General features: G+C 40.9%; 1 long non-coding RNA gene and 1 pseudogene across 1 annotated transcript in view, besides 1 other annotated feature; both read left to right on the forward strand.

Annotated features, from left to right (window-relative positions):
• LINC00467 (long intergenic non-protein coding RNA 467) overlaps positions 1-1,085 on the forward strand; it is a 49,781-nt gene extending 48,696 nt beyond the window's left edge. Inside the window, exon 6 of the long non-coding RNA NR_026761.2 lies at positions 869-1,085. This is a non-coding gene — a long non-coding RNA (long intergenic non-protein coding RNA 467). The remainder of the gene's footprint in view (positions 1-868) is intronic.
• Positions 8,095-8,318: a silencer, noted in NCBI's record as "fragment chr1:211612887-211613110 (GRCh37/hg19 assembly coordinates)". NCBI's record gives its function as "represses an EF-1alpha promoter that drives an FKBP-Casp9 reporter gene in an ReSE screen in K562 erythroleukemia cells {active_cell/tissue: K562}" and the evidence as "EXISTENCE:reporter gene assay evidence [ECO:0000049][PMID:32094911]".
• ARPC3P2 (actin related protein 2/3 complex subunit 3 pseudogene 2) lies at positions 10,804-11,553 on the forward strand (annotated as a pseudogene).
• Positions 11,554-11,762: the final 209 nt, after the last annotated feature.

The raw sequence follows: 11,762 nt of genomic DNA on the forward strand, positions 1-11,762 counted from the left end.
AGCAGGATGGCATCAGATACTACTGGATAATGTTAACTATGCTGAAGAACAAATATGCTTATATGCTAAATACCAGACTGTAATGTTGTGGTGATTTCTGGGAAAAAGGAAAACTATAATAAAGTGAGAATAAATAAAATGAAAAAAATTTTTAAGAGAAAAAAGGATAAAGATACAATAGGAATTAACATTTAATATGTGCAAAGTATTGTATCCCATTATAAACTGTTGTACCTCCCTAAAATATGTGGCCAGTTGTACAATCTAAGATAACTCTAAAATATTACTTGGTAATTGGAATTGGATTTTATTTTTGTGAATTAAAAACTCACTAATGAGCCTCACCCTCACAAAATTTCCACAAAACTAAGTACTTGGTTGATTTGAAATAATTTAAGGTTAAAAGTTGCTAAACATTCCAACCTTCAAAATAAGTATTCAAAATTTGCAAATCCAAGAAATTTACTGTCAGTTATTTTCATTTCCACTCAGTCTTTATAAATCCTTGTTTGTGTTTTTTCCACATAGAATAACCTCTTACCATTTGAAATTTAGATTGTTATAGTTGAAGTTTATTTTTCTCCCCATTTTTTAGGCCACAGGAAATGGAGTCTGAAATAAAGCCACTGTATCTAAAACATTTATTTAATGGTAAAACTTGATGATTAATAGTATTATTAGCGTTTTAAAGACTATATGTTTAGAGTTTGAAGTAAAGCTCCAGTGTTAATTTAACTTACTTTTCAAGGCTTAACGTGTTCTCATCTAAAAACAATGATGTCCAAAATTTCTGTTTTCTACTGTAAGTATTATGTATAATAAAATAGGTAGTAAATCTATTCTAATGTGTTCTACTTATTGTCTGCAGAGGGACTGAAACTGGGCTGACCCTTTTGATTTCCAAGCTCAGCGTTTTGGTGTAAGGCGGCCAAAGAAGGATGCGGAGCCCAGCACTGTGAAGCCTACAAAAACATTGATGCGCTGGCTTGGGGATTTGAATTTGAACATCTTTCACACTAAGTTCAGACTCATGAAACCAATCTTCAGATGCTCTGTAAACCACATAATAAAGAGTTTGGAAATTATATTTTGTTTTTGAAGGCCCACGTGCAAAACTTGAGAGCCTCAAGTCCAAGCCAGTTGTGGCAATTCTAGCCTACTTTTTTTTTATATTCAAGTGTGTTGTAGGGAAGGAGGAGAATAAGTCTGCTTTCTTGAATATTATGCCTAATTAATTACGTATAAAATACTTTTACCAAAGTTCTATGCAAGGTAGAAGACTTACAGATGGCATGAAAAAGATAAAGTCTTTTCCATGTTTTTTTTTTTTTTTTTTTTTTTTTTTGAGACAGAGTTTCACTCTGGTCGCCCAGGCTGGAGTGCAGTGGGCCAGTGTCGCCTCACGGCAACCTCCGCCTCCCAGGTTCAAGTGCTTCTCCTGCCTCAGCCTCCTGAGTATCTGGGACTACAGGTCCATGCCACCACACCCAGCTGATTTTGTATTTCTAGTAGAGACATGGTTTCGCTATTTTGTCCAGGCTGCTCTCGAACTCCTGACCTCAGGTTATCTGTTCCCCACGGCATCCCAAAGTGCTGGGATTACAGGCGTGAACTACCGTGCTTGGCCTCTGTGTACTTCTTTTTTGTTGTTATTGTTTTTGAGATGGAGTTTCACTCTTGTCATACAGGCTGGAGTGCAGTGGCGCCATCTCAGCTCACTGCAACCTCTGTCTCCTGGGTTCAAGCGATTCTCATGCCTCAGCCTCCCAAGTAGCTGGGATTACAGGTGTGCACCACCACGCCCAGCTAATTTTTGTATTTTTAGTAAAGACAGGGTTTCACCATGTTGGCCAGGCTGGTCTCGAACTCCTAACCTCAGGTGATCTACCCACTTCAGTCTCCCAAAGCGCTGGGATTACAGGTGTGAGCCACCGTACCTGGCCCATGTACTTCTTACTTAGTTTTTCTTCCCGCGTCTTATGTTTACATTTGCAATTATGTCTTCTTCTTTCAACAAATATTACAGGTTTTCATAATCTCAAATATTTGTTTTTAGAGCATGATGTAATGTTCCTTTGCATTAGGTACACTGATTGTGGGTTTCCAACAAAAAGTTTTCAGGTCTAAAAATGATCACATCATGCAGTATACCCAGGAATCAAACCTGCACATCTATCCCCTAAGTCTAAAAATGAAAGTTGAAAAAAATAAAAATTATATAAGAAAAAAATTATCACAGTGTTTTATAAAATAAGAAAGCAGACCACGCGTGGTGACTGAGGCTTGTAATCCCAGCACTTTAGGAGGCCAAGGCAGGCGGATTGCTTTAGCTCAGGAGTTTGAGGCCAGCCTGGCCGAAATGGTGAAACTCTGTCTCTACAAACACACACACACACACACGGTGAAACTCTGTCTCTACAAACACACACACACACACACACACACACACACAAATTTAGCCAGGCATGGTGGCACATGCCTGTAGTCCCAGCTACTCGGGAGGCTGAGGTGGGAGGATTGCTTGAGCTTGGGAGGCAGAGGCTGCGGTGAGCGAAGATCACACCACTGCACTCCAGCCTGGGCGCCAGAGCAAGACTCTGTCTACAAAAAACAACAAACAGAAACAGCAATTTGCCAGGTAAGCCTTTTATGTTGCCTTTGATAGTTTTATAGATCCTTGGGATTTTTGCTCACTTAGGTTTATGATTGAATGTGTATCCCATCTAACTGTGTACTTGATATTTGCTTTTAAAACAAACTCCTGTTAGAAGTAAATGTTGAAAGAGAGGGCTAGGTTGTTTTTTTTATATTCATTCAGTCATTGATTCATTTATTTATTTATTCAGGGTCTTGGCTGTGTTACCTAGGCTGGAGTGTGAGAGTATGATCATGGCTCACTGCAGCCTAGACCTCTTGGATTCAAATGATGCTCCCACTTCAGCCTCCCAAGTAGCTGGGACCACAGGTGCACACCACCATGTCCAGCTAATTTTTAGATTTTTTTGTAGAGACATGGTCTTTCTGTGTTGCCCCGGCTGGTCTCGTACTCCTGGCTTCAAGCAATGGCCCCACCTTGGCCTCCCAAAATGAAGATTACAAGTGTGAGCCACTGTGCCTAATTGATTTTTTTATTGGAAATTTTGATACTGTTACGTTGTCACTGAGGCAGACAACTTAAAAATAATCTTGAGTATCATTCTGTGCCGATGTTAGAATTTAATATGCTGTTCGTAGGCCAGGCTCAGTAGCTCACGCCTGTAATCTCAGCACTTTGGGACGCCAAAAGCAGGAGGATCTCTTGAGCCCCCAGGAGTTTGAGACAAGCCTGGGCAGCATAAAGAGACCCCCATCTCTAAAAAAAAAAAAATAGAAAAATTAGCCAGACATGATGATGCCAACCTGTAGTCCTGGCTACTTGGGAAGCTGAGGTAGGAGGATCGCTTGAGCCCAGGAATTTGAGGCTGCAGTGAACTATGATTACACCACTGTACTCCAGCCAGGGTGACAGAGCAAGACCCTATCTCTAAAACTATTTTTAAAAATAAAACAATATGTTGTTCATATTATCCTAATGTAGTGTTTTACTGAATAGAATTCCTTAAAGGATTCTTTTCCCCAAGGATATTAACTCAAGGTAAATTATAATAGGATTGCAGATAAATTAAGCATCTTTATCTTTGATTACAGAGATATTTAGCATATGACTATAGATAATTTCCCCTTCATATTTTCTTGGGCTTCTAGTATTTATGTATCAAGAAAATTATTTCCTTATGTTTGAAATGGTGACATTTCTGAAATGTACCAGCAGAGGATACAGGGATTTTTGTTTGTTTTTCATTTTCTTATTTACTGAAGAAATAAAGGCATTTTAGTTTATAAATGGACTGTTTCTTTTTTCCAGGAAAACTAATATTCATAATTATGGGAAAACCGTGGTCTCTTCAAAAGGGCATAATAAAATGTAGATATTAGACATTATTTCAAATCGTTTTTTGTTATTTGTAGATTAATTAAAACAGTAACCATACCTCTGGAAGACAGAATAACAGAAGTAGTTTGACTAAATGGAGTTTGAAGTAGTGCATTACTTCTCTGGATTTGTTCTTAATTTCAAGCTTGTATTTATCCATATGAATAGTACTTTTGATGGATCAAATTATGAATAAAACTCTCACTTTCGAGAGGTATAATGCTTTCTGGGATAAAAGTTAAATCTACTGAAAGAATCATGTAAACAAAATCAAAAGCAAGAGGTAATTTAATGGAGAAGAATTTTAAAAAGATTTAAAATATGTTCTGGTGGAAAACACTGTGGACCACAGTAAGGAGACCTGCGTTCTCATGCCAATTTGTTCCTCCCAAGCTGTTTTCCTCTCCATTTTCTTCATCAGCTGAGCTTCCTGATACCAGGAAGCTGATGAAGCTTAAGCTTCAGGGCCCCTGCCAAGGCCCTGGGAGGGTCCCTAGCATGGGGCTTACATGGTCATATGCTTTTGTAACACCAAGGTGCAGGGCCAGAGGTCTTACCACAATGTGAATCTGTCCTAGGTTGCCTGGCATTGGAAGTTAAATGGGTATTAGAGGAGAAACAGGGTTTGAAATGTATAGAGCTGGCCGGGCGCAGTGGCTCATGCCTGTAAACCCAGCACTTTGGGAGGCAGAGGCAGGCAGATCACTTGAGGTCAGCAATTCAAGACCAGCCTGGCCAACATGGTGAAACCCTGTCTCTACTAAAAATACAAAAATTAGCCAGGCATGGTGGTGTGCGCCTGTAGTCCTGGCTACTTGGGAAGCTGAGATAGGAGAATTGCTTGAACCTGAGAGGTGGAGGTTGCAGTGAGCCGAGATCATGCCACTGCCCTGCAGCCTGGGTGACAGAGTGAGACCCTGTCTCAAAAAAAAAAAAAAAAAAGTAAAAGTACCTAGTAGAACGTAATCTGTAGAAAATGTCAAATAATCAGATACGAAAAATTGGAAAAATTGTTAGCAGAGGATTTGGGTCTCATCAATACCTAGCACAACCCTGCAGCAGTAATACAAATAGTGTACCTACATAGCTGTGTAAAGACATACTTGTGAATTTTGTATCCTATAATTAAAAAAAAATTATCAACTATGCCAGAGGAAGGACTGAATTTATATATATATAAAAAAAGATATTACAAAGTCATACAGTGAAGTGACAAAGAGTATGCATCCAAAAAAGTTGGAAAAAATAATATATAGATATGTCAAGCAGTTAATAAAAATAGAATGTTATTTTTCTGGATTTTGTTATATTTCTGCTGTGTCAAGTAAAATTTATAATTTGTAATTTCTGTTACCATTGCACATAAATATTCACATTTAAAAGTACCTGACTTTGGCTGGGCGCGGTGGCTCACGCCTGTAATCCCAGCACTTTGGGAGGCTGAGGCGGGTGGATCACGAGGTCAGGAGATGGAGACCATCCTGGCTAACACAGTGAAACCCCGTCTCTACTAAAAATACAAAAAAATTAGCCGGGCGTTGTGGCGGCTGCCTGTAGTCCCAGCTACTTGGGAGGCTGAGGCAGGAGAATGGCGTGAACCCAAGAGGCAGAGCTTGCAGTGAGCCAAGATTGCGCCACTGCACTCCAGCCTGGGCGACAGAACGAGACTCCGTCTCAAAAAAAAAAAAAAAAAAGTACCTGACTTTGTATTCTTTTTTCTTAGTGGGTCCTTCAAATTGTATAAGCTTTAGGCCCCACAAAACCTAGTATTACCCAGCTTGTTGTATAATGAAGAGGTTAAATTATATTCAGGGATTAAAATGAAGTAAGAAGTCATGAAAATGATTTCATTCCTGAAATATCAATATAGATAATTCCATCATGTTTGGGTGAAATATCTATAAAACTAACACACTTTTAATAATTCTGACTTTCTGCTGTGATAATTCCAGTGGGTTGTTATGCTAACAGTCTCTCTTTTCTATGCCTCATCAAAGACCTCTTCTAAAGGAGGGGATAAAGGAGGGAGAAAACCCTATCCTTTCACGTGGAAAAGTCGTATTACCCCCTAAGCTTTAGTTTCTTCCTCTAAAAAATAAAGTTAGAAACCTCTCCCTGAGATCTGAAATATCACGGTTGAATTTCTGATGTTCCTGGATCCAAATGCCTAGTTTTTAGTTAAAGATAAAACTCAAATTGATAATATTTCCTTGTTAGCATAGGTACAAATTCTATGGAGACATTGATTAAAATACAAGACTAGCCAGGTAAAGCGGCTCATGGTTGTAATCCTAGCTCTTTGGGAGGCTGAGGTGGGAGGGTCACTTGAGGCCAGGAGTTCATGACAAGCCCGGGCAACATAGTGCAACCCTGTCTCTACAAAAATAAAATTTAAAAATTAGCTGGGCATAGTGGCACACACCTGTAGTCCGAGCTACTGGGGAGGCTGAGGCAGTAGGATCACTTGATCCCAGGAGTTTGAGGCAGCAGTGAGTGACCCATGATCATGCCATTGCACTCCAGCCTGGATGACAGTCAGATCCTGTCTCTAAAAAAATAATAAAGGCCAGGTGTGGTGGCTCATGCCTGTAATCCTAGCACTTTGGGAGGCCAAGGCAAGCAGATCAACTGAGGTCAGGAGTTCAAGAGCAGCCTGGCCAACATGGTGAAACCCCATCTCTACTAAAAATACAAAAATTAGCCGGATGTGGTGGCAGGCGCTTGTAATCCCAGCTACCTGGGAGGCTGAGGCAGGAGATTCACTGGAACCCGGGAGGCGGAGGCTGCAGTGAGCCGATATTGAGCCACTGCATTCCAGCCTGAACAACAGAGTGAGACTCTTGTCTCTAAATAAATAAATAAAACTACAAAACTAAATTACTGTATTCTTCAACTAATGGGACACAATATTCTTTTTTTTCTTTTTTGAGACAGAGTCTCACTCTGTCGCCCAGGCTGGAGTGCAGTGGCATGATCTCAGCTCACTGCAACCTCCACTTCCAGGGTTCAAGCTATTCTCCTGCCTCAGCCTCCAAAGTAGCTGGGATTACAGGCACGTGCCAACACGCCTGGCTAATTTTTGTATTCTTAGTAGAGATGGGGTTTCACCGTGTTGGCCAGGCTGGTCTTGAACTCCTGGCTTCGAACTCCTGGCCTCAAGTGATCCACCTGCCTCTGCCTCCCAAAGTGCTGGGATTACAGGCGTGAGCCACTGCGCCCAGCCAGGACACAATACTCTTGCATAAAGAAACGAAACTCTGGACAGTTCCGTTGTCGTGGGCTTTCTTATTTTCCTGCTTTGGCAATTGCTAACCAGAAAACTAGAAACCAACACAGAAAGAGGAGAAAGAGTATTTGGAGTGTCTGTATGAGTGTAAAATGTGATTGGGATTGTGGAAATACATAGATGGAGAGTTACTTATACTCCCAACCCCTCTGTATTCCAGGATGTTCACATATATGTCATGGACTAGGAAATTGGCTGCTGTGGTCTAAATGTACCCCCCAAAATTCATATATTGAAACATAATTGCCAATATGCTACAATTAAGAGGTGGGGTCTTTAGAAAGTAATTAAGTCATGAGGGCAGAGCTCTTATGAATGGGATTAATGACCTTACAAAAGGTGCAAGGAAGCTGCTTGTTCCTTTTCACTCTTTCTACCATGTTAATATGCACCAAGAAAGCACCATTTTGGAAGCAGGGAGTGACGCTGAACCTGCTGGCGCTGATCTTGGATTTTCCAACCTCCAGAACTGTGAGAAATAAATTTCTGTTGTTTATAAATTACCCACTCTAAGATATTTTGTTATAGTAGCAGGAATGGACTGAGACACTGGCATATTCCATAATTTGTAGATTTTATATTTTTATTGCATACAAATTGTGCTATAAATATAAATACATTATAGAAGTGACCATTTTAAAAAGACATCCCATATATTAGATTTTAAAATGCTTTGTGTGGAATTTTACAAAAAGTATAGTGAAGCACTCTTTACCTCTCAAGTATGTCACTGATAAGGGTTTATTGATATTATCATCTCTATTTTATTTATTTTGAGACAGAGTCTTGCTTTGTTGCTCAGGCTGGAGTGCAGTGGTGTGATCTCAGCTCACCACAACATCGCCTCCTGGGTTCAAGCGATTCTCCTGCCTCAGCCACCCGGTTAGCTGGGACTACAGGCACGCACCACTATGCCCAGCTAAATTTTTTGTATTTTTAGTAGAGATGGGGTTTCACCATGTTGGCCAGGCTGGTCTTGAACTCCAGGCCTCAAAGGCACCTCCTGGGTTGAAGTGATTCTTCTCCCTCAGCCTCCCAAGTAGCTGGGAGGCCACCACACCCGGCTAATTTTTGTATTTTTAGTAGAGACAGGGTTTTGCCATGCTGGCCAGACTGGTCTCGAACTCCTGGCCTCAAGTGATCTGCCTGCCTTGGCCGCCCAAAGTGTGAACCACTGCGCCCAGCTAGTGCTTCTCAAAATTCAATGTAAATATTAATCATCTAGTGTGGGGGTTCCCACTCCCTGGGGCACAGATTGGTACTGGTCTGTGGCCTGTTAGGAACCTGGCTGCACAGCAGGAGGTGACCAGCGGGCAAGTGAGTGAAGATTCATCTACATTTACAGCCACTCCCCATCACTCTCATTACAGCCTGAGCTCTGCCTCTTGTCACATCATCAGCAGCATTAGATTCTCATAGAAGCGCGAATCCTATTGCAAACTGTTCATGTGAGGGATCTAGGTTACATGCTCCTTATGAGAATCTAATGCCTGATGATCTGTCACTGACTCCCATCACCCCCAGATGGGACTGCCTAGTTGCAGGAAAACAATATCAGCGCTTCCACTGATTCTACATTATGGTGAGTCGTATAATTAATTATTTCATTATATATTACAATGTAATAATAATAGAAGTAAAGTGCACTGGCCAGACATGGTGGCTCACACCTATAATCCCAGTACTTTGGGAGGCCGAGGCAGGTGGATCATTTGAGACCAGGAGTTTGAGACCTGCCTTGACCAACATGACGAAACCCCATCTTTACTAAAAAATACAAAAATCAGCTGGGTGTGGTGGCACATGCCTGTAGTCCCAGCTACTCTGGAGGCTGAGGCATGAGAATCTCTCAAACTCAGGAGGCAGTGGTTGCAGTGAGCCAAGATTGCACAACTGCACCCCAGCCTGGGCAACAGAGCGAGACTGCCTCAAAAAAAAAAAAAAAAAAGTGCACAATAAATACAATGCACTTGAATCATCCCAAAACCATCACCATCCCCTGCCAGTCCATGGAAAAAATATCCTCCATGAAACCAGTCCTTGGTGCCAAAATGGTTGCGAACCGCTGATCTACGGGATCTTGTTAAATGCAGATTCTTATTTAATAGATCTCAAAATGAGGCTCATGATTCTGCATTTCTAGCAGGCTACCAGATAACGTTTATGGTGGTCTGACAACTACCCTTTGAGTAGCAAGAATCTAGACTACAGCAGTGATTCCAAAGTTACCAAAGCATTTGGGAAACAGAATAAACAGAGATTTTAGTTCCCCACTCCAACCCATTAAAACCAGAATCTCAGTTTCTGAGGCCCTGGAAATATGTATTTTTTAATGCTTTTCAACTGGTTCCAATGATCAATCGGTATTTTCAGACTTTAGGTCCTGACCTATTTAGTTTTTAATGAAATCAATGATTTAGACTGTGACCAGAAATTTTAAAAGATAAGCAATAGAGTAGAAAATATCAATGTGCACTTCACATAAGAATAAGTATTATTTCATGAAATCAGGCTGGGCGTGGTGGCTCATGCCTGTAATCCCTGCACTTTGGGAGGCTGAGGCAGGTGGATCACTTGAGGTCAGGAGTTTGAAAACAGCCTGACCAACATGGTGAAACCCCGCCTCTACTAAAAATACAAAATTAGCTGGGCGTGGTGGTGCACACCTGTAATCCCAGCTATTTGGGGGGCTGAGGCAGGAGAATTGCTTGAACCCGGGAGGCAGAGGTTGCAGTGAGCTGGAATCGCATCATTGCACTCCAGTCTGTGCAACAAGAGCGAAACTCCATCTCAGAAAAAAAAAAAGCATTATTTCATGAAATCTTTGCCTCAGTTATATATCCATGTAATATGTATGTGCTAGGTCACAATGTAAAATGCATTTCTATGGATCACAAAAAATGTTTGGAAAATTCCAACTATTTGGTGTTATTATATTAATAGTTCTCATTCCATCTACCCTCTGACACTTTATACTCTTTTTTTGTTTTTTTGTTTGTTTTGTTTTGTTGTTTGTTTTGTTTTGTTTTGTTTTTTTTGCGATGGAGCCTTGCTCTGTCGCCCAGGCTGGAGTGCAGTGGCATGATCTTGGCTCACTGCAAGCTCCGCCTCCTGGGTTCACACCATTCTCCTGCGTCAGCCTCCTGAGTAGCTGGGACTACAGGCGCCCGCCACCACACCCGGCTAATTTTTTGTAATTTTAGTAGAGGTGGGGTTTCACCGTGTTAGCCAGGATGGTCTCTATCTCCTGACCTCGTGATCCACCCACCTCAGCCTCCCAAAGTGCTGGGATTACAGGCATGAGCCAGCACGCCCAGCCGACACTTTATACTCTTAAAATTTATTAAGAAGCCCAAAGAGCTGCTGTTTATCTGAATAGTGTCTATCAACATCTACTGTATTATGAGCTATGATGGCACCATTGCGCTACAGTCTGGGTGACAGAGACTCTGTCTCAAAAAAAGGTTTAATTTCTGTTTTAGAAATTAAAATTGAAATTAAGAAATATAATTCATTACTAATTCGTTTAACGTAACAATTAGAGGAAACCCGGGTGCCACCAAGATGCCGGCTTACCACTCTTCTCTCATGGATCCTGACAACAAACTCATTGGAAACATGGCATTCTTATCTATCAAAAGTCAATTCAAAGGACCTGCCCCTAGAGAGACAAAAGATAGAGATATTGTGGATGAAGCCATTTATTACTTCAAGGCCAATGTCTTCTTCAAAAACTATGAAATTAAGAATGAAGCTGACAGGACCTTGATATATATACCTCTCTACATTTCTGAGTGTCTGAAGAAACTCCAAAAGTGTAATTCCAGAAGCCAAGGTGAGAAAGAAATGTATACACAGGGAATCAATAATTTTCCTGTTCCTGAAGAGCCTAGTTTTCCACTTAATGCAATTTATGCCAAACCTGCAAACAGGAAGATGAAGTGATGAGAGCCTGTTTACAACAGCTAAGGCAAGAGACTGGACTGAGACTTTGTGAGCAAGTTTTCAACCCTCAGAATGATCAACCCAGCACGTGGTGGACTTGCTTTGTGAAGAGACAGTTCATGAACAAGAGTCTTTCAGGACCTGGACAGTGAAGGGAGCCCAGGCAGCCACCATCTCCAGAGCCCTGAGCAGCATTTTCCAGCAAGATGTACACAATCTTTTGCCTTTATTTCATAAAGTTTTATACAGAAGAGAGAAGACCAGAAAAGCATGTCTTTACTTGAAAAACTCTTGATCAAGAATTCGGGTGGGAGCAAAGAAAGTGGGTTATCAAGGGTTATTTGAAATTTTCTGTAGTATTAAGCTGGCACTTAATAAGAATAATAATAAAGAAATTTCTAACATTCAAAAAAATAACAATTAGAAACTCATATATTAGCATAAATAATACACATGTTTATGAAATAATAATTAGGCCAGGTGTGGTGGCTCACACCTGTAATCTCAACATTTTGGGAGGGCAAAGTGTGCAGATTGCTTTAGTTTTGAGACCAGCCT

The sequence above is a fragment of the Homo sapiens genome, chromosome 1, assembly GCF_000001405.40.
Source record: "Homo sapiens chromosome 1, GRCh38.p14 Primary Assembly".
NCBI classification, from domain to species: domain Eukaryota; kingdom Metazoa; phylum Chordata; class Mammalia; order Primates; family Hominidae; genus Homo; species Homo sapiens.